Below are 23176 nucleotides of genomic sequence, written 5' to 3' on the forward strand. Positions count from 1 at the left end.
AAATATTTGGACTTTTTCATTTGGAAGAGGAATTAGACTTGATTTCCATAATGCCATATGGTAGAATTAGGGCCAAGAATTCCACAACAATCCTTTCACAAGTACTTTTTTATTGCCAACTCTGTGTCAGGCATCATGCTAGGCAAGGAAACACACTTGCCCTAAACAAGCCCACAATCTATTAGGAGATAGACACCCAGGCAGCCTTATCCAAGCATGATAGGTGGGCCCCTAATTGAGCAATGCACTATGGTGAAAGAGGAATGAACAATTAAATTTGCCTGACAGTGATTTTTTTGGACCAATGTTATACATCATATAATGTAAACATTCAAACAATTCTGTAAGATTTATAAAATTTTTTTAAAAGCCTAGCATTTTGCAGCTCTTGTTCTACAGTGTCTCTTTCTCCAGAACAGTCATTGTCACCTTTTTTAGGTGGTTATCGTACTATTCATTTCCATGTCTCTGCATGGCATGGTTATATTGCTATTTCTTAATTTTCCAGTTTTAGGCTTTATCTATTGACTTTCCCTTATGGAAGATGACCATTTAGCTCCTTTTTTTTTTCCATACACATGCATCCTTTCCTTCTTCATCCTCCCGATATAATAATGTGGTGTTTTTGGTTAAAGCTAATATTCTGTTACTGTGGCTATGAAAACTGTATTCCCAGCTGAGTCATATAAAATATGGTTACTTTTCCTTTCCTGTACATCTTTGTATTTTCCCCACAATTAATATATTTTTATCTTTAAATTTACTTTATTATATATGTACTTATCACTAATTCAACCCAAAATACTGTATTCATTGTGTCAATCTTTTCTTTAAAAATTCAGGATCATTAGATTGCCATTTAATTTCATCTTCCACATTTTCTCCCGAAGTCTTCTGAGCTACTCATACTGCTGGTTGTTCCATGCCTGGGACATAGCTCTATCTTGGGGTCTCTGCACAGACAACCTGAGGATTCCTTTTGCCTTTCTCTGGTCTTCAGTCCCCTAGTGCTTGCATCTCACATCTTCTTTTAGTGACCCATCTTCTTCGAATGACCGCATGCTCCAGTAGTTTTCTGCAAGAGAAAAATGGAGAGAGAATTTTGAGACATTGCAGATCTGACAATCTCTTTATTTTACTCTCATACTTAATTGATAGTTTGTCAGGGTTCATATATCTAGATCAAAAATAATTTTCCTTCAGAATTTTGAAGGTGTTGCTTTATTGATTTCTTCTTTTCAGAGTTGCTGGGAAGTCCAGAGTCTTTCTGATTCCCGATCCTTCATATGTGACCTAATTGTTTTTTCATCTTTGGAAACTTTCAGGATCTTCTCTTTGTTGAAATTTCACAATGAGTTGCCTCAGTATGAGTCTATTTTTATTTATTTTTCTAGGCAGTTGGCAGGCTGTTTCAACGTATCTTTCCATTATGGAAACTTTTCTCGAATAATTTCACTGATGCTTTCCTTTTCTCATTTCCTTTTAGACCTCTTGCTTTTTGAATTTTGGACCACTTGTATGGGTCCTCTTATGTTGATATTTTTCTCTTCTATTTACAACTTCTTCCTTTCTCTTTTGCTTCTTTTTTTCAAACAAAATCTCTGGTTCTTATTACATGATTACATTAATTTTTATCTCCCTGATGATATTAATAAAAGCTTTTGGAGTTACTGAAGTTTTCTTCTGTCTGCAAGTTTTTTTCTCAACCAAGTTGTTTTGTGTGATATGTGTGCACAAGGGGAAAAGGTTTCTTTTCTGTTCTATATATACCACTTAGGAAGCTTTCCTCAAAGGTCTGGTAAATTTTATACTTAAGGGCAGGACACTCTTAAGCTGATTTGATGTTCTGAGTGCATGAATGGGGACTGTAAATTGTCAGTTTCACTGTAGAGTGATTTGGCTGGACAATTTTAATAGGAAATCTCTGCCGTCAATACCTTTATAGCTTTCTTTTTAGCAAAGAAATATTTCCCAAGGAAGATTTTTTTCACTTCTTGCCTGGCCGCTAATGTTCTGGGAGCAAAGTGGACACAGAGAGCTAGGGGTGTTTACTTTCAGTATGCATAAAATGACTTTTTTCATTAAGATACCCACACCATCAACTATGCCTGCTGCCACTTAAGGCCTGGTGTTTCATACTTTTTAGACAATAAACTGGGAAAGGACAGACAGCCTGGCATAGTGAGCTAGGGAATTGATGATGTCTATTTCTTAAAAAAATACTTTGAGTTAATCTTCTTTATTTACTCTCTTTCACTCTCACTTCTCAAGGTACGTGATAAGGCCACATGTTGTGCGTTTGGGGATCATGCGGCATAAATCTGGGCTGATTTTTAGTTTTCCCTACTGGTGACTTAGTAGTTCCATTCCTTGGGTATCTAAGTCATTTACCATGAATTCATCTACTTCCTAGCTCCTAAATTTGTTTCTTCTCTCTCGTTCTTCTTTTCCGTTAAGATTATATACATCTAGCTATACACTATTGATTTAGGGTCAGTTGTATGCATGTGATTAATCTTCTTTCTTTCCCTGGAGGATCTGGGACGCTTTCAGAGAAAGTAACATTTGTGAAGGACTTTGAACGATGTCAGATTTTTCAGTGAAACCAATGAGGAAGAACAACACGAGCAACAAAAGAGATGTCAGCACTTTTATGGAGAATTCAGGAAATATTGACTATGGCTAAGACATTGTTGGCAGAAGCAAGAACAATATAGTTTTTAGATTGGAAAAGTGGTGACCAGCAATTAATGAGATTTATGAAGTGTACATTTTTATACACTTTAAAACTCGTGTGTATCCCACAACGGACCAAGTTGTCTCAATGATGCATCCTTCTCTGTAACTGCTAAGCCCTTAGGTGGACAATGATAGACAAGGTTTCAAATTGCTTGGTGTATGAAAAATGCCAATATTTTTTAGCATATATATGTAATGTTTTTAAGCTACTTGATCTCAGGTAAGGTTTGAGGAATGAGGAGGAGGAGAAAGAAAGAAAAAATAGTAGATAAAGAAGAGACACAGAGAGAAAACCTTCATACTGATGACATCATGGCTGTGTTTTAAAACTGAGCCTTAAGTCTGTCGGAGTCATTTCTGTTCTATTTCAACAGGCAGAAATGTGCTGAGCTCTTGGGGTCGTTGACTAACAGGTCTACCAGATGGATCCTGAGTTTGGCTGCAGGAGCAGAGCATTCCATCGCAGGCTTTAAGATGCAACAATGCATTATTAAACCTGTTTGTAACAAAATGTGCAAGATGACATCATGTCCCTCAACAAAAATGTGTGCCTTGCTGTGTGGGAACAGTGAACCCCAGGATATAGAAAGTCAGGCAGAAATTATAGTACCTTATAAATAACTGCTCATCCACCCATTATACTTTTCTCTCTCCTCCCAAATCCAAAGTGTTCTTTAAGAGAGGAAGAAAAATATTCTATGCAATTCTACATCAAAAAGTTGTAACCAAGAAATGATAAATAAGCATCTGCAATGAAAGAAAAATGGATATAGCCTTAGGAGAATGATTTTTAGTCTGAAATCTCAGTCATAGTCTGCCAGGAAATAAAAGCCATTGAATATTTAGAACAAGAGGACTTTAATGCAGGGAATTGGCTACACTGGTGATAGAAGAGCTAGGAAGCCTAATGGGACAATGAAAGAACTCAGAAATTAGCAGTGGCAGGAAGACGCTGCCACCTCTGAGCTGGACACATGAAGTGTGGGAAGCCTACTAGGCGAGAGGGAGAGATGCAGCTGCTGCCCAAAGATGTCATGAGAGGCAGGAAGAGAAGTGGCCTGGCCTTCCCTCCATTTCTTGTACCCTCCAAACTCCTACCAGTGTTTCTTTCTCATAGGATGAGTCCAGGGAAAAGCCAGTGATGTAGGAGCCTGGGAAACCCGGCTCTGCAAAGCAAAGCAAAGCAAAGCAAAGCAAAGCAAAGCAAAGCAAAGCAAAGCAAAGCAAAGCAAAGCAAAGCAAAGCAGGGGAGGGTGAGAAATGGATTTGAAGACAAACAGGTCCAGAACCAGCACATCCAGAAAGATCAATGCTGCCATAAAGGGGAGAGGATCAGTGTCTACGAAATCATCACTGATCTGAACACAATGAAGAGATTATTATTCATCAGATCTAGAATTAGATGTGGAAGAATTAGGAGCAAACTTTAAAAGTGAACAGCATAGAGTGCAACCACCTCTATCACCCTTACAGCCAGAACATTGGATTGGAGTCTTGCAATGGACCCGCCTAGTATATCTCACTGCCTTTCAGTTATTATGCACTGATAAAATGAGACATGGACAACATTAATGGAAAACATTATTTTGGCAGGAAAAACTAAAATTTGAATTTCATAGATGTCTTTGTTGTTGATGTTGTTATTGCTAATAATAATGATATCCAGTACTCATACATGTATTTATAACTCAATAATTCACTGCTAGCAATCATGCTGTTTTCATGGGTCAATCCTGTTCCCAGACATTCCTACTGTAAGACTGAAGTAATTTCTTTAAAAGTGATATTCAACAGTTGACTGTTGAAGCAATGTTTTCTTATTAACTAACATGTAATTAGTTCATTAAAAAATACCTCAACTGAATAGCACGTAACTTAATACAATCTACCAAAGTGGAGAAATCCACAGTTTCTCACAAATGGCAGCAAAATTACAGTGCAGGGAAACTGGAAATGAGAAGATGCCAGCTGGCAGGACACTAAGTGCTTCAGATTACTGTGTGTTTATGACTTCTGTGTTCTAGAAAAAAAATTAATTAGATTATGCTATTTGAGAATCTTGGAATGCCATGGCTCTGGGCCAGGCTTATCAGAACCACACATTTGAAGTTTAATTAAGCTGTTTTAAATTTCACCATTATTTCTGAGTTTTGAAAAAGCAATAAATGTAGGAACTAATAAATAACTGTAGAAGAATGCTGAGATTCCCTCAGATGGCAGCCTTCAGTATAAAATTATGGACTGTTTCAAAGTCTACTATACATTCATGTTATTGAACGTAAACATGATATGAAGCAGTACTCTTTGTTCAAGAGGTTTTGGAAAATAAATGGATGCAATATAGGGGCTGTAATGGTAGAAACTTATTATGTTGTTTTGAAAAGTCAAGTCATTGTTCAATAACATGTCTATATCTCAGGCTGGGGTCAAACTGGGGAAAGGCACATGAATTCCAGCATAGAGAGAGGCAAGCAAGGGAGATTTGCTTCTTGTTCACTTTGATGAGGGAATCTTACTGTCTGAATTTTTAGCTAGCTAGTTTACACAGGAGGAAAATAGCTCAAGTCATAATACAAGTGGGCTTAAATTTGTTTAATTAATTTTTTATTATTTATTTTTTAATGGCAGTAAAATATACATTACGTAAAATTTACCATTCTAGCCATTTTTAAGTGCACAGTTCAGTGGCAGTAAGTACCTTCATGTTATTCAACCATCAAGCACCATCCACTCCAGAATTTGGCTTAAAGCTATTTTGCTAATTGCTTTCCAAAACAAAAAAACCTTTAAAAATTTTCCTAGGAATAGTTGGTCAAGGTCTGAAAATATGGAAGACACTACATCTGCGTCTATACATGCGGGAGCCAGTATGATCCTGCCTCATGGCCCTGCAATTGAAGTATCTAAGGGGTTTGACAGTATACTTAGAAAAAATGGGTTGTGACTAAATAACAGTTTTCAATCAGACTTACGGAAGGAGAATATTAACCCCTTTTGAGAAAATAAACAAATTTGGCAAAACAAACACTGATATGACTAACTGCTTTGGTTAAATAATTTTATTCATTCATTCAAAATACCTAGTGAGCCCTTATTTATTCTAGATATTGTTCTAGGCATTGGGGAATTTGTGGTGAACAAATATACTAAGTCATCACTTCCAAAGATGTTATAGTCCAGTAGGAAAGACAATGTACCGATAAATATACCACAGATGGTGATAAATGCTACGATGCAAAACAAGTATGGATAAGAAAAGTAAAATCAAATTTCAATCTTTCTTTCCTAATTCTTCCCATTTATAATATTTTAGAGACAAAAACAGAATACCTTCTTAGAATGGAAACCCCATTGTCAAAAAAGACTCTGGTACATGAGGTGATAGGCTAAGGAGATGAGGCTGAGCAGGTCAGAATATGAAAGCCTTGTGTTGCTTTGCTCTCCTCTCTCTGTTTCTCAGTTTTTTCAGCATCTTGATTCTTTTTACTCTTCTTCCTTCATTTCACTGAAAAAGCAGGTAACTAAGGATATATATCTACTCATTTCTCCAGCAAATATGAATTAGAAATCTGCCATTATGGAACACTGTGCCAGCTGCTGCAGGGAGTCAGGAATGCATAGGGCACAGATGATCTCCTCAGAATGCATTGGCGTTTATTAGGTTGGTGCAAAAGTCATTGCAGTTTTGCCACTACTTTTAATGCAAAAGCTGCAATTACTTTTGCAGCAATCTATTAGATATGTAGTTGCAGAAGGAGGCAATCAATGCTATGTGTCCCATGAACAGCAGAGATGACACATGCTTTGAGGCTTTCAGGAGATACCAAGACAACTTCTATTAAGGAAATCTTAGAATAATTCATAGAAAAGGTAACTGTAGAGATGGAGTTTGTTGGATGAGCAGCACAGAATTATGAAAGAAGAGAGGTTCTCAATAGGGAAAATGTGACCAATATGTCCACTGTGCAGAAAAGTAGAGGGGGAGAAAGACTGAACAAGGTTTGATCACAAGTGAGTACATTTGAGAGAGTATCTGTGTGTGTGTGTGTGAGAGCGGGGGAAACTGGCAGAAAATTAAAATTTAGGACGTCAACTGTTTTATCTAAATAATACCACCTCACATACTTGGCTGACTTTACCATGGAATTAAGCTCATGTATTCATTCATTCAATAGATATTAATGGATTGCCTATTGGGCCGGTACTAGGGATACAATAGTGAACAAAACAGAAAAATTTCCAAGTTCTAAATCCATAGAGCAAGCTAGAAACTCCTGAGCAGGAGCTGATGCTCCAGTCCACAGGTAGAACTTCTTCAGAGAGACCTCAGTGCTGTTCTTAAGGCCTTTCAACTAATTGGATCATTTCCACCCAGAAAATCTAGGATAATTTCATTCACATAAAGTCAACTTGAGTGTAGATGACTACCAAATACATTTACAGCATCATATCTACCATATAGCTTTATAGCATCACCTCGATTAGTGTCTGCCTGAATAACTGGGTACCATAGCCTGGCCAAGTTGACACCTAAAACTGACCGTCACAGATGACTCACCAATTTTTACCCAGTAACAAACTGACTGGCTTTGTGTGGACTATGACACCTCTTTCCTCTACCTTCTGTTTTTTTAACTGGCTCTTTTGAATTATGTAGATGGCTTCAGACTTGGATTTCCTGTCTGGCAGGCTATAGTCAGGTTCCAAATGACAAAATATTAATTAGGAGGACTGTGCATGATCTTGTTTACAAATTCATTAGCACTGGGAGCTTGGCTTTGGCAGTTGTTTGTCCTGATGCCATGGGGGTACATTTCAGCCCCCAAATAGCACCATCTGGATCTCATGTCCAACTTTGTGGCCATTCTAATCTTCATCTCTTTAATATAAGAAGAGTGGTGCTGCTCGCACTGCTGCCCATAATTCAATATTAAAATACTCCTTTAAGAACAAAATAGTGCCTGTGTGACTTGGTGTGTGTCATGGGGAAATTCTAGGGAGGAGAAATAACTGCTATCCACTTCATCCTATTGACCCCAGTGAACTCTGTTCAATAAATATTTGCAGAGTGACTGAATGCCAAAGCATGTCTTGAGTTTATGCAACTTGGTGACATTTCCACCGCTAAAACTGTTACTACAAACTTTATCTTGGAGAACTCATGATAGGTGGTGAAGTTGCTCCGAACCTAGGAAGCTGCTATTGGCCAAATTATGTGCTGTTGGAGAGAAACATTTCCTGTGTATTCAAAAAAAGTGGAGGCTTGGCATGACTAATATGGTAAGAATGTTCTCATCTTCTCCAGGAGAAGAATGGAGTCAGGTAGAGCTTTGCAACAATCCGTGGTCACAAACCTCAGTAGACACCCAGGTCATTAACTAACCACATGCATGTGGCACATGGAATGGAACATCCCAGAGCTCTGAAACCACAGGCATCTCTCTGCTGGATTAAAGGAAGCAATTTCACAGGCCCAGACAGAAAAGGGATGTGGTGATTTTTCAAACGATTCTGATTTATAGTCAATAAGGTGCAAGGTTATGATACACAGAGTAAATGAATCGTTTACACTCCTCCTCATCACTCCCTTCCAGAAGCTCTGGCTTCTGCTGGTTTCTAGGAAGATACCAAGAGTGTCACCTTTATGAGCACCATGCCTGGTCTTTGTATCTGTCATCCAGCCTCCCATCTGTGAAGTGATTCTTCAGAAACCCCTGACTTTGGTTACTAGCCAAGCCAGGGTGTGATATTTTTTCCTGTTTAATTAACAACAACAAAAAAAGGCTTGCGCATTTACTTTTGCCAGCTATCTGAAAGTTCAAAAGGTAAAGAACATTTCCGTCCACAAATAAGCCATGGAATGTATTTGGAAATTGAGTTTTCATCAGTAGTTGCTGTTTTGAGCCACTTATTCCACTGCTGAGGAAAGTGAAATGGGAGTTCTTTCCTGAAAGGGGGGGAAAAAAACCCAGAAACTTTGTATTTAGAATTTCACATCTATGGTAGAGGCTCTAGGAATTTGAGGTCATCTTTCTGACACTGATTTAGGCTAGTACACCCTCAGATGGGAGGTATTTATTATACCCATTGGTACAATGAAAGTTCAAATTTATACTGAAAGAAAATAATAAGATAAAGGCATGGCCATTTTGAGACCTTCTGATGATAGGCCATGATGGTACTTCATAAACCAACCTATCCTTAGCAAAAGACTCGTTTCATAAATTGCATTTTTAATTTATAATGATGCAAAGCTGAATGCCATATTTGCCGTGTAGGGCTACCCATTACAGACCAGGCATCCTGTCCATGGAACTTGGTAGAAAACCCCCAAAGTATCCCCTTTCATGCTGATCCAAGAGTCCAGATGCCACATTTTGTGCCACTTTATGAAGGAAGTGACATTTGAATTGAAGGCTGAAATGCAAGGAGGATTTAAATGACAGGGAAGGATGTAATTTAAGTGTCTGTCATCTGTCTGATCTCATCTCCCAACATTCTGAGGCTATTTTTCAAGAATTGAGAAAACTGTCTTGAATCCCCATCTTGCATATAGTACAAGGTCTAGTACCCTTCCTCAGCATACCTCAGAGGTCTTTAAGGGTCTATGTGTCCTTTGATCACCATTACCTATAATGTCTCGCTTCCACTGACTTCTCAGTCTCTTCTGTGTCTCATCTTCTCAAGCAATTTTTTTCCAGCCCTACATCAATGTGGTTCTCAGTTTCTCAAGATACCACTGATATAAAGCTGTTCAACATTCAGATTTTAAGGCCACCAAGAAGAGTTGCAACATGGCACAGAAGTGGCAACATCTTAGATTTTATACCATATATTGACATGGTATCTCATGTCGAATTTTAATTCCCAGTGTTGAATGAGGGGCCTGGTGAGAAGTGACTGAATCATGGGGGTGGACTTCTCCCTTGCTGTTCTTGTGATAGAGTTCTCCGAGATCTGCTTCTTTAATAGTGTATAGCACCTCCCCCTTACCTCTTATCTGCTGCTGGCCATACAAAGACGTGCTTACGTCCCCTTAGCCTTCTGCCATGATTATAAGTTTCCCGCAGCCTCCCAGAAGCAGAAGCCTGTGCAACCAGCAGAACCAGGAGCCAATTAAACCTCTTTTCTTTATAAATTACCCAGTTTCAGGTATTTCCTTATATCAGTGTGAGAATGGGCTACTAAATATATTCCTCATCCAATTTCTGTGGTCTTCTCAGCCACAGGAGATATCTTACTAGCCTTTCTATTTAGGATGCCACTTGTCATTAATCTGGGGCCACAGCTAGAGTTAGAGAAGGCTGATGTAATAAAAAGTAAAATGTCTCCTGATGTTATGACTCGAAGAACTAAAAAACTTTCTTTTTCACATAGCAGTCTGAATTAAGGTTTCCAGGCTAGCCTTTGGTTCTGCTCCATATAATCATTCAGGGACCTGGCTGTTAGTGAGTTGTTGCTTTGCTGGTCTCTGTGTCTTGTATTGTTTACATGGCCAAGGCTGGCACACCCCAGTGGTTACATCCAGTATGAAAGGGGAAGATATTGCCTACTGTCTATGGCTCTGGCTCAGGAGCGGCACACCCTACTTTTGCTCACATTCCCTGGGTGAGAATTCAGTCATAAGACCAAACTAACCTCAAGGAGTCTGGGAAATGTAGTACCAACACAGGTGGCCACTCGTTTATCCCAATTTCCTTTACTACAAAAGAAGGTGAGAATAAATGTTGGTGAAGAACTAGGAGTTCCTGCTACATCTTTCACTTGTCTTTCAGAAACTTCTTCCTTTGGACTCAATTTTTTTCTCTACTTCTCAGCAGCTAACTCCTAGATTTCTATCCCATTTTAAATGCAAAACAATTTGGTTTCTCATGTTTTTAATACTCTCCTCCCAGACCAGACTCAGTGGCCTCAATTTTTTTTTTTTTTTTTTGAGATGGAGTCTCTCTTTGTCACCCAGGCTGGAGTTCAGTGGCACAATCTCGGTTCACTGCAACCTCCGCCTCCCAGGTTCAAGCGATCCTCCTGCTTCAGTCTCCCAAGTAGCTGAGATTACAGGTGTGCGCCACCACACCCTGCTAATTTTGTATTTCTCATAGAGACAGGGTTTCGCCATTTTGGCCAGGCTGGTCTCGAACTCCTGACCTCAGGTGATCCACCTGCCTCAGCCTCCCAAAGTGCTGGGATTACAGGTGTGAGCCACCACGCCTGGCTAGTGGCCTCAACTTTTAACAGAACAGCCTGGTAAGCTCTTTTGCTATACAAAGAACCAACTACCACTGAGATAAGCATTCCCTGTTCCTATAAGGCAAAGGCAGTCATCTACCCATTATTTTGCTTGGTGTGTGCACATGAGTTCCCCACTCATGTACAAGCATGAAAGTAGTAATTATTCCTCTCTGCTGCATAAGGGGCTATATGCAGTGGAGTGAAGGGAGTGAGTATTCCCTGAAAAGGAAATATTGAAACAAAAAAGTGGAGAGAGGAAAGCATGGGGTAAATTCAGAAGTCAGAGATGGGTCTGGTTGACCTGGCTCATAGGCTATGTGGAAAAGAATGGGGGCATTAAGAAGGATTCCTTCCAGTCAAAAGTAATAGAAACCTAATGCAAATCAACAGAGGCTAAATAGGGTTATTATATGAGAGGTCATAGAGGCACTTACAGTTCCAAGTAAGTGCTAGATCTAGGGCCCCAGAAGATGTCAGATAGAGGCAAGTCTTTGTTTCTGTCTCTGAACTGTTTGGTCTGTCTTCTCAAATAGGATCTCTCCATAGGATCCTTGACCTCTCTAGGCCATATATTATCTGTAAAATTTTCAAGCTGTTTCCAGTGAGCCACCAAGGTAAATTAAAGGTGGATTCCAGTGCCAGATTATGCCATGCAGAATTTACAAAGTAAAGGACAGAGAGCCAGTTCTAACCACTCTTGGATTCTCCTGACAGGTGAAGGTTTTTAAAAGGATGGGGTTATGGAGAAGTTGTGACTGTGAAGAGGGGAAGGATTTTTTTAAAGAGGTTGGGGGTGTGTGTGTGTGTGCACATGTGTGTGTGTGTGGCAGTAACTCTTCTTCATGTTGTCACCTCTTCATATGAGATACCTCTTTCATTTCAAGCCCAGTGAGAATTCATCTCTGAGAGCTCTCTAAATTGAGAGACATAGACAACTGATATGCAAGTCACAGCTGACCAAGCTACAGACACCATGACAGCAGGGTAGAGGAGCTGCACTAAGATTGGCCGACCCTCACAGAGTTTGCTGACGTAAGAGATGTGTCAGTGTTCCTAAGGCCTAGAGGAAGGCCAGGTAAGAGAAGAGCCAGTGTGGGCTCAACCTGGGTCTTTCCCAAGAAGGTCACAAAGAAGGGTGGGGGTAACCCCAACAGCAAGAAACTGGAGGTGAATGGCACGTTCTTAGGGTCTGCAGAGGGACTCACAAGAAATTCATCAAAATGAGTCAGAGGAATGACAGAAAATAGCTTTCCAATATTGGGAATATTCGAAGGTACTTTGAAAGTACCTGCGAGAGGTACCCAGATAGCATGAAGACAGCTTAGTTTAGAATCATTTTAAGTAGAGGTCTTTCTCACTTGTTAGCATCCCTTCTTCTCCACCCATCACTCTGATCTCAAAGGGATCAGAAACTACTTAACAAGCTTGGGGATTGAGCCGTTAGGAAAATAGAGAAATATGGTAGAGAAATGCAAAAAAAAAAAGTCAACCATGTCATTCCTCCCCACCCCTATTCCCTGCCGCCTCCCAGCCGGAAGCAGGCCTAAGTTGGGGAATAGGAGAATATTTTACTTTAAATCAAGTTTAAAGTTGTCATTAACATTTTGGACTCAGCATTGTAATTTCTAAATTGGGACTGTATTGGTGACTTCAAGTAACTCTAGGACCAATGTATAATCCGAAAATTGGCCAACAAAAAGTTTTATCTAGGTCAGATAAAATTTTGAAGGGATAATGGAAAACAAAAATAATTTCATTTGATTGCGTTATAAGTACTGTTTACATCTCCCTAGAGATCATGGCTTCAGAGGGAAAAGCACAGTCACTCTTCCAGAATCCATAACAGTTCCTGAAAAAGACTTCTTAAGTCAGCATCTCCTCCACACCCACCAAACCTGTGACAAGGAAGCCATATGGCTATTAACAGCCCCACCTGGGTCACTTAGAGAAAGCAAGAGGCAGATTTCAAAAGAAGACACTGGCAGCACATAGATATCCACTACAACAGGAAGTGATGGCATGTGGATTCTGAAAGATTGTAAGATGAATCACTCCTAATGAAAGGACTCAATCAATGCAGAACCTCAAGTTCTGTTAGGTGGACTGGCATACAGAATATGGGAACATTCTGTTGGGACTCAGATCTCGAAAGTTAGAAACCCAGCAAGGTGAAAGAGTGACAGCAGGGGCTTCCTTGTGGGCTTTGTCATTCCCATGTCATCCATGGTGCCACTCATAGGTCACTTGCTTCAGCCTGGTCATAGGACCATACAACCCTCTCAGATATGCCTACTGGGCAGGGTGAAAGGCAAGCACCACAGCCATCCCTGTGGATTGTCCTAAACCTTGTGACGCTTCTATGAACCAGTTTAGTGGGTCTTCCAGTAGCCTGCAGACAGGTGCGAAGAGGCTAATACTTCCATATAGTATTGCAGAAAAAATTGAAAGTACTTAGTCCATACTTAAAAGGCATCTTATCTTGTAAACATCTTGTGTTATATGTTCATTCACTTATTAAAAAATTAATATATATATTTATACTCTGACTATATGATCAGCATTGTGTTATAATCTGGGAATACAAAAAGTATTTAGAAAAAAATGCCTATATATTTGTCTCCCTCAGCAGAATTGAGTTCTTCTAGAGTGGATACCCTGCCTGCCTTATTCACAACTGGGTCTCCAACACCTAGAAAAATTTCTGGTATACAGCAGGCACTCAATTAATGTGGCTTGATTAGATAAATCAGGACAATCACTGTCTTCAAGAAGATTAAAGTCCAGTGGAGGAGAAAGATATGTAAGCACAATGAAGTGTGGTAAGTTCTGTGACACAGGAAATCATAAAACTATATGTCAACAAACAGAGGGTGGGCGTGAGGGAGGAGTGAATAAGGCTTCCAAAAGATGATGCAATGTGGGACATTAATGGATGAACGGAACATTGCCCATTTGTGCCATGGTTCTCCTCCCCTATTCTTCTCTTTGAGGATTCTAGATTTCATGTGTTCTCTTTTGATGGCTTGGGACAATGGGCAGAGATGAGCACTCTGGGCCTGCTGTGTCCTGGGTGTGGCTGTGTGGGTCTTTCTGTAGCTGTGCCAGGGGAATGACTTTACAGGATCTCAGCAACAAGCCCAGGGTACTGTAGCTTGTGGGATCTTGGCAGAACTGTCTCAGTGCTAAGGTCAGAATTGGGGAAAGATGTTGTAATTGCCTTAAAGGCACGTGGACTCAAAGGCAACGCGGACACTGAACACAGCTCCTTTCGCAGACTGCACTTGCAGGGAAGTGAATGGGAGCTTTTCCCATGTGTGGCCAAATCGATGGGGTTAAATATGATTAAGCCCAAACATGTAAAAACAAAATTCCCAAGTTAATGGTGATGTAATATTCTGTTAGGGTTAGGCCAGATTATAGCTGATTGCGTTGCTTCATATTGGAACCTGGTCAAAACGTTGATTCCTGTTATAAATCCTGTAGTCATCCCCAGGAATAGCATTATCCACCAAAAAAAAAAAAAAAAAAAAAAAAGGCCTTTCTAAAGTTTCTAGAGAGTTTCAATGAGAAATTTCTTAGCAACACCTGGAAAAACCACAAACAACACAACCGGCTGTTGGGGAGCCCCAGGAAAATGCCACACATCTAGAGTAGGGAGCCTGCTGTGCCCTTCTCAGGCATCCTAAGAGCGCAGGCCTGGGTTGAATGTGCTCTACCCCACATCCTAACAGGGAAGAAAAGCACGAGGCCATTAAACAAAAAGGAAAAATAATACCACACGTCGCTGAAATCACATCCAACTGGGGCCAGGGCTTGATCTGCAATTCTTCATCCTTTCTGGTCTTCATTCAGCAGCCACTGACACCCCCACAGGATGGATTCTTTTTCCAAGGCAACAAATGCTCAATTCATCAGGGAACCAAAGCACAGCTCCTGTGCAATTTGTCCAGGATCCTTACAAACATTGAATATAAATGGAAACCAAAGACATATTATTTTCGGAAGTGAACATATTTTCACCCTAGTTTAGGATGTTGATCCTTATCACTCCCTTCCACATAGAGAGTGTCCCTTCTTTGCACCTTGCTCCTAGTGACTTCAAAGGAAGCCTGGAAGGAGCCCCGTAACATTGGTTACCCTGCTGTGTTCCAACCATAGTGTTTCTGACAGCACTTAAGTGCAAAAGCAAATGTTTCGTCTAGGTAAGGACCTAAAATAACGAGGCTTGGCTTTTTAAAAGATTAGGTACAAGAAAGGAAAACGCTACATGAAGTCATAACAGTAAGAGTTATCATGGTGTGTATATGCAACATCTGGATTCTAGGGATTATGCCAATAAGCACAGCAGTGTTGTTAAAGCCCTGGGCACAATTAAATCTCAACCCTGAGTTAATTAAAAAAGAAAAAAAACTGAACATAGTTATTTAATTTTGAATCTGAGTCCGTTTTGTAAAGCTGTTAGAATTGAACAAAAGCTGGCAAATGATTCTATATTAAAAGGTGAGATGTTTTCTTGTTTAATCAAAAATATACAGTAGACTCTATATACTCAATTTAAATATAGCAGAGAGTTAAGAATGAAAATGCTTATTATTGCTCGCATTATTCCCAGACTCATCTTGGAAATTTCCATCCACATAATTTCTCCTCTGACCCTGTCCTTGGAGCTAACATGTCTCCCAGATTCTTCAATGCTATCACCTGCCTGGCCTGCTGTTGATGGTGTAATGGAAAAAAGGAGGAGTCCGCAAAATGAACCTCTAGTCACCCTCTCCCGTCTGCTGATGGCCTGGTGACAGGTTAGTTGGCCTCCTTAACCTCAATTACTTCATGCAAATAATAATATTTTGCCTGTCTAAAAGCAGGAGGCTAGACAAGATAAAACATGTATATCCATTCCATGTATAGTTTATTGACTTTATCTTAAATTAGTGCCCTGGATCAACCAAATCACTATGCTATGAACACAGAACTTATATACAATGAAAAAGAATTAAGTAAAAATATGGCTTGTCCAGGTGTGGTGGCTCACGCCTGTAATCTTAGCACTTTGGGAGACTGAGGCAGGCAGATCACTTGAGGTTAGGAGTTTGAGATCAGCCTGGCCAACATGGCAAAACCCCATCCCTACTAAAAATACAAAAAAATTAGCCGGGTGTGGTGGTGTGTGCCTGTAGTCTCAGCTACTCGGAAGGCTGAGGCAGGAGAATTGCTTGAACCCAGGAGGCAGGGGTTGCACTGAGCTGAGATCATACCACTGCACTCCATGCTGGGGGACAGAGTGAGTCTCTCTCTCTCTCTCTCTCTCTCTCTCTCTCTCTCTCTCTATATATATATATATATATATATACACACACACACACACACACACACATATACATATATATACACACATATACACACATATACATATATATACATACATATATAGCTTATGTAATTTTGCTTATACCTACTTGTTTTCATTTGAGCAACTTGATGTTTTCTCAGTTTATGATGAATTGTTTCTATCAGCAGATGATTCCTTGAGGTTTCATCGCCAGCTAGAAGAAACACAGCTCTATTATGTTTTTCAGAGGAATTTAAAATAACGTTGAAAACAAAAAGTCAGGTTGGTCACTAAAATGCCCCTTGAAGGCACCCTTTCTTTCTCATTTTTATAGCTCTGCCTGACCTTAAGCCTTCAGCACTTCCTGCCTTATTACCATAGCTTTCTTATTGGTCTGCCTGTATTCCAAATTATCTTCCTCCAATTCAATTATTTTTCTACCACTTATTTTTCTAAATGTAGATCTAATTATTTTCCTTCTTTGATTAAAATCTGATCATGCTCCTTCTTTTTGAGAAGAAGTCTCGCTCTGTCGCCCAGGCTGGAGTGCAGTGGTGCGATCTTGGCTCACTGCACGCTCCGCCTCCTGGGTTCACGCTATTCTCCTGCCTCAGCCTCCAGAGTAGCTGGGACTACAGGGACCCGCCACCACGCCCCGCTAATTTTTTTGTATTTTTTAGTAGAGATGGAGTTTCACCATGTTAGCCAGGATGGTCTCAATCTCCTGACCTCATGATCCACCCGCCTCGGCCTCCCAAAGTGTTGGGATTACAGGCATGAGCCACCGCGCCTGGCCGGTCATGCTCCTTCTTACAGGCCTTTCACACAGTAGCTCTAACTTGAATTTTCATCTCATCTCCTGTCATTCCTCAACATGAGATGTCTGACTGGTGGCAAGGGACATTGGCCATCCTACTGTGTCTGGAATTGGTTCCTTCCGGTGGGTTCTTGGTCTCGCTGACTTCAAGAATGAAGCTGCAGCCCCTCGTGGTGAGTGTTGCAGTTCTTAAAGATGGTGTGTCCAGAGTTTGTTCCTTCTGATGTTCGGATGTGTCCAGAGCTTCTTCCTTCTGGTGGGTTCGTGGTCTCGCTGACTTCAGGAGTGAAGCTGCAGACCTTTGCAGTGAGTGTTATAGCTCATAAAGGCGGCATGGACCCAAAGAGTGAGCAGCAGCAAGATTTATTGCAAAGAGCAAAAGAACAAAGCTTCCACAACGTGGAAGGGGACCCGAGCCAGTTGTTGCTGCTGGCTCGGGTGGCCTGCTTTTATTCCCTTATTTGGCCCCACCCACATCCTGCCGATTGGTCCATTTTACAGAGTGCTGATTGATCCATTTTACAGAGTGCTGATTGGTGCGTTTACAATCCTTTAGCTGGACACAGAGTGCTGACTGGTGCATTTACAATCCTCTAGCTAGACAGAAAAGTTCTCCAAGTCCCCGCCCGACCCAGAAGCCCAGCTGGCTTCACCTCTCACCACCACATTCCTCATGTACCTTCTCACCTACAAGATAGCCCATGCTATTATTTCTCTGTAGGATTCTCTTTGGTTTTAGTTTTCTATTGCTGTAGTGTCTTAAAAAAACACTCAATGGCTAAGTGACTAAAACATCCATTTATTTTCTTACGTAGGCTAGAAGTCCAGGCCAGGCAGAGCTGAGTTCCCTGATTGGTATTCCATAAGGCTGAAGTCAAGTTGTCAGAGTCAGCTGGAGCCTTGAATAAGGAAAGATCTGTTTCCAAGCAGTTTCAGATGCTCAGCAGAATTAGTGCCCTTGTTGTAGCTGTAGGACCCAAGTTCCCATGATACTGCTAGCTATTGTCTGGGATCTGCACTCAGCTCTCAGAGGCTACTTTCAGGTCCTTGCCACATGGTCCCCACCATAGACCATCTCACACTTTCAATCTCTGTGACTTCAGGAAGGGCTCAGACCCTTTTAAATGTTCAACTGATTAGATAAGGCCCACCCAGATATCCACCTTTTTATTAACTCAACTGATTAGAGACCTTACTTACATCTGCAAAATTTCTTTTGCCATAGATACAGTGCAATCACAGGAGTAATATCTCATTACATCCACAGATTTCATGCACTGTCAATTGGAGGGAATTATACAAAGTCAAGGTCATTGCAGTCATCTTCAAATTCTGTCCACCACACTTTCCTTTTCTTCTCTGCTGGAAAAACTGCTATTCATCATGTAGGATCTAGCTTATATGAGTCTTCTATGTTAAGTAGTCCTGACATCCTCAGGCTGGGGTGCTGGCTCTGTGATCACCATGGATCCCCATTCATCCCAATAGCATTATATTTACCATCTTCTATTAGACCTAAATATATGTAGTCGTTTGATTAAAATGTAAGAAAGGAATATTGAGAAACTCTCAGTTTTGTTTTGTATACCCCAGATCCCTTGTTTGTTGATACTGTGTTCTCTGCGTTAAAATGCCTGTCTAAATATTGTTTGTGCTACTTGAAAGGGAGGTATGCCATGCTACCAAGTAAGGAATATTTTCTCAAATAAAGGTGGAGCCTTCATGTCAGGTGAAGTGTGAGTCTCCCTTACCTTGCATATTAACATTACACATTCAATAGCTCAGGCTTTTCATGGCCAGTGGCATTGATACAAGGAACCCAGTGTAAGATTAGAACTGCTAATCATTCATTATGTATTCCCATTTGCTTACAAAGGACAAGATCATATGAAAATACATCCTCAGGAAATTGGTTAGACAAATGCTGAAGAATAGGTGTAATTTTCTAAAATTTCAGTTTTAACAATTACTTTGCATCTTTATCCAAATGAATAAAGCCGGTGGTGGCCTTAAACGGAAGAATGGCCTAGATACAATTTTTTTTCCCCTGTGAAACCTTTCTTTCATAAAAGAAATAGAAGGAATTCACCTTTAGTGTGCTTGATTTTTCCTCTTGAGAATCATTCTGGTCTCGTTCAGCTTTCCAAGGACTAGTGAATCCAGCTTTTTGTATCATTCTGTCCAAGTGCACACAATTGAGATGAAAGCCGTGTGAGATTATTGGATAGTACATAGACACCAATGTAAATTCAAGATTGGGAAGAAACAATTGTTTTTGCCTACTTATCAATGCAAAATATATTCTGCTTTGTCTGTTTTCTGGAAAGAAAACTGGAATTTGAGTAATTTTATACTATAGCTGAGTTTCAGGATTCCTCATTTTGAAAAGAATGAGCATGGGAAATTATCCAGAACCACAGCTCTTTCCTGTGACTCTCAAAAAAAAACAAACTGGAACTTCCCTCCCTGTATTCTTTCATGCAGGACAGTACCATTCAACAACTACTGTGAGTTCAGAAATTCCCAGATAACAGTCAGATGAAAGAAAAAATGACTCCTACCTTTTAACACGTTTGTATAGAGATCTGGGTTCTAAACTCTGCCAATGGAATGCTGGAAACAGGGGCACCAGTTAGGATAATATTTAACAAAGCATTTTGAACTGGCACCAAGCTTCCATTAATGGAATTAAAAAAGATCTGCCAGTGTTCTGGGGAAGATGATTCCCACAGTTCCCCTCCAAAATGTTTTAAAATGTGCAGGGAAAAAAAAGGGATGAATCAAGAATACCTCACAGACAATTTTTCTAAGCTGAGATGAATTGTGTTAGCTTCTGTTCCCCCACAATATATATGGATCCTGCCATTGCCCTAATCAGCAGAGATGGTTTAAAAATTGATCTGAAAAATCAGCACTTGACCCTGTGACTCCGCTTTTTGTCGACACTTTCAATCACATCTGGTCTTTAACTGTAAGATTGTTGGCCTATTCCAGAGTCCATTGCTCTGACAGCTGCATGCATTTTGCACGCAGAATAACTCCTCTCCCAGAGATTTAGGAAACCAGGACAACACAGCTTTCATTGCTAGATCACTTAACCACAAAAAAGAATTCTAATAAGTTTCCACAAAAAGGCCCTTTGGCCTGAGACATTGAAAAGGAAGAAGCACTGTGAGAGACTATTGGCAAGGGCATACACTTGGGTACAGGGAAACCTTGATTTAAATTCAAACTCTATCTTTCAGCCTCAGTTATACAAAAAAGTAAGACATTATGTCCTCTGGAAACAACAACAACAACAAAACAAACATATTGTAGAGATTAAAATGAAGCACAACTGTCTTGAAAATACTTTTAAATATAATTGTATAAGTTATATTATTTAACTGGGCAGCATCATACTGACCTTCTAGTCCAGAACAACCTGGTAGTTATAAAAAATATGTATATTCATTAATTCTACAAGGATTTACTGAACATCTACAATGTGTCAAACTCATTTCTAAAAATATGTGATATAAGTTGCCTCCATATGATAATAAAGAAATAATTTTGTTGAATAATCAACCTTTTCATTTTAAACTATTGTTTTATAACATAAGCCATATACTAAATGGTCCTCTCTTCAAAATTTTACATTTATTGCACATCTACTGGGCTACCTCATTTAAACCACCTAAAGATCACGTGAAATAAGATACCACTTCATAACTCATATTCAGAGGGTTTAAACCATACGCCCAAGGTCACATAGCTTGTTGAATAGATGAATCAGCCAAGCTTCTACGTCTGACTGCATAGTGTATGTTTATATCACCCTATTATGTTAACTTCTTAAGGATGCTGATTATTTGAATAAGCCAAAAGCTTCAGCATTTTTCACAGGCTTTCAAAGAGATTGACCTCAATGCAACACAAAAACAATCCAGCGTATTTAGGTCATCTGAAAAAAGTTATCTTATAAAAATGTTAAGACTTTCTATAACTTAGGCTAGAGGTTTTATATAAATTCCTTGTGATGGCACCTAACTTTGTTTGTCCTATGACTCCATCTATGTCTCCAGCTTCCTAAGAAGTTCCTGTCATCCATCCTCCTGGTCTCTGTGCCACTGCACTCTGGCCACGTCATGTGACTTATCATCCCCCACATACCCTGAGTTTTACCTGACTCCATGACTCTTCCCAGAGATCTTTTCAGCCACTCTTTGACTTCAGTAGTTGGAATTGGGGATTCCCTTCAATTGGCTCCAGTGACCTTCTGTGTGTATCTTTATTATTGTATGGATGGTATTTAAATTATAGATTCATATTAGGTTATGAATTCACTATAGCTTACTTATGTTTGTGATCCTACTGTCTGGTATAGTGTTAGCATGTGACTTAATACATGATCATTAAATGAGTAGATAGTAATTTCTCTATGTAACATTCTCCATGTTACAAGAGAATGTACTTTCTCTTTTTGTTCTTTTATGTTCATGAAAAATTAGAATGTTAGATGACTTTTTATTGTAGTTGAATATTTTCAAAGCAAGGCTTAGGGTGATTTCCTCAACATCTCTTGTAGTCACACATGGAAGTGACCAGTCATATATCCCTAAACACATGAAAGCAGAAAAGCATGATCATTTATACCACCCTCTCCACCACCATACATATTCTAGTGCAAAAGAACACACAGTGCATTCTTTCATTCATTCAACTAAAATTTGCCACTTAACTTCTAAGACATTTCAATCACAAATAAAAGGATTAGTTTTCCTTAAAGACTTGATACTCTTAATTCTCGTGATTACAATGAGCAGCTCTGATCTCTGAGATTTCTAAGATATTCTTATTTAAGTGTTATGGAGACTTCCCATTTCTGCCAAGATGTCAAAATAACGTAAGACTCTGTCTTCCTCTCCTAAATTCAACTCTGAATATAACACAAGTGTAAGAAGAGGGTGAGATTGACCAGTCTGAGAAAATAATGCTGCAACTTTGAGAAACCCCTGGAAAGAGAAGATAAATGAAATCTGATAGAGCTGAGAGCAGCAGTTCAGAGAAGATGAGGGTTATGTACAATAGGGATTGGGTTGAGAAAAAGCCTTTCTATCTGCTCTTCTCTCACCACAACATTGCCCTGACAGGATCACTGCTCATTTCAACATTTCTGCAAAGCAAAAATTGAGCAGCTTCTTACCAGGTCTGCCAGGTTGAAAGGTGGCATTCCAGTGCATCTAGAGGTGCATGAAGTGGGAAGCAAAGAACTGCAGATGAGCTAGAAGATTTCTTCTTCCCTCCTCCCTTGTTGCATGAATTCAGTTATGACAATTGAGGAAAACAACTCTTAGATAAGAACAGGCTAAGGATGATGGAACAGGAAGTTTTACTGAGGGACAGGATTAACTGGTTAGGAGGGTGGTAAGTGGGCCTAGATTAAATACCAATATTCTCCATTGTAATGCATATATATATATTTATATATTTTTTGAGATGGAAATATATACATATATGTATATATATGTATATATATGTATATATATGTGTATATATGTGTATATATATATGTGTGTATATATGTGTGTGTGTGTGTGTGTGTGTATGTGTGTGTGTGTATATATATATATATATATATATATATATATATATATATATTGAGATGGAGTCTCACTCTGCTGCCCAGGCTAAAGTCCAATGGCATGATCTCAGCTCACTGCAACCTCGGCCTCCCGGGTTCAAGCGATTCTCCTGTCTCAGCCTCTTGAGTAGTTGGGATATATGTGTGTGTATATATATATATATATATACGTATATATATATATATATATACGTATATATATATACACGTATATATATATATATATATATACGTATATATATATATACGTATATATATATATATTGAGATGGAGTCTCACTCTGCTGCCCAGGCTAAAGTCCAATGGCACAATCTCGGCTCACCACAACCTCTGCCTCCTGGGTTCAAGCGATTCTCCTGTCTCAGCCTCTTGAGTAGTTGGGATTACAGATGCTTGCCACCATGCCCAGCTAATTTTTGTATTTTTAGTAGAAACGGC

At 39.6% G+C, this 23176-nt stretch overlaps 1 long non-coding RNA gene across 1 annotated transcript; it reads right to left on the reverse strand.

Moving 5' to 3' along the window:
• Window positions 1-330: 330 nt before the first annotated feature.
• Window positions 331-22389, reverse strand: LOC105372924 (uncharacterized). The gene is made up of 4 exons (XR_922605.2): window positions 22300-22389; window positions 19204-19291; window positions 16425-16511; window positions 331-1075 (listed from the first exon to the last, which is right to left on the reverse strand). It is a non-coding gene; the product is annotated as an uncharacterized LOC105372924 (long non-coding RNA).
• Window positions 22390-23176: the final 787 nt, after the last annotated feature.

Source organism: Homo sapiens, chromosome 1 (assembly GCF_000001405.40).
Source record: "Homo sapiens chromosome 1, GRCh38.p14 Primary Assembly".
NCBI classification, from domain to species: domain Eukaryota; kingdom Metazoa; phylum Chordata; class Mammalia; order Primates; family Hominidae; genus Homo; species Homo sapiens.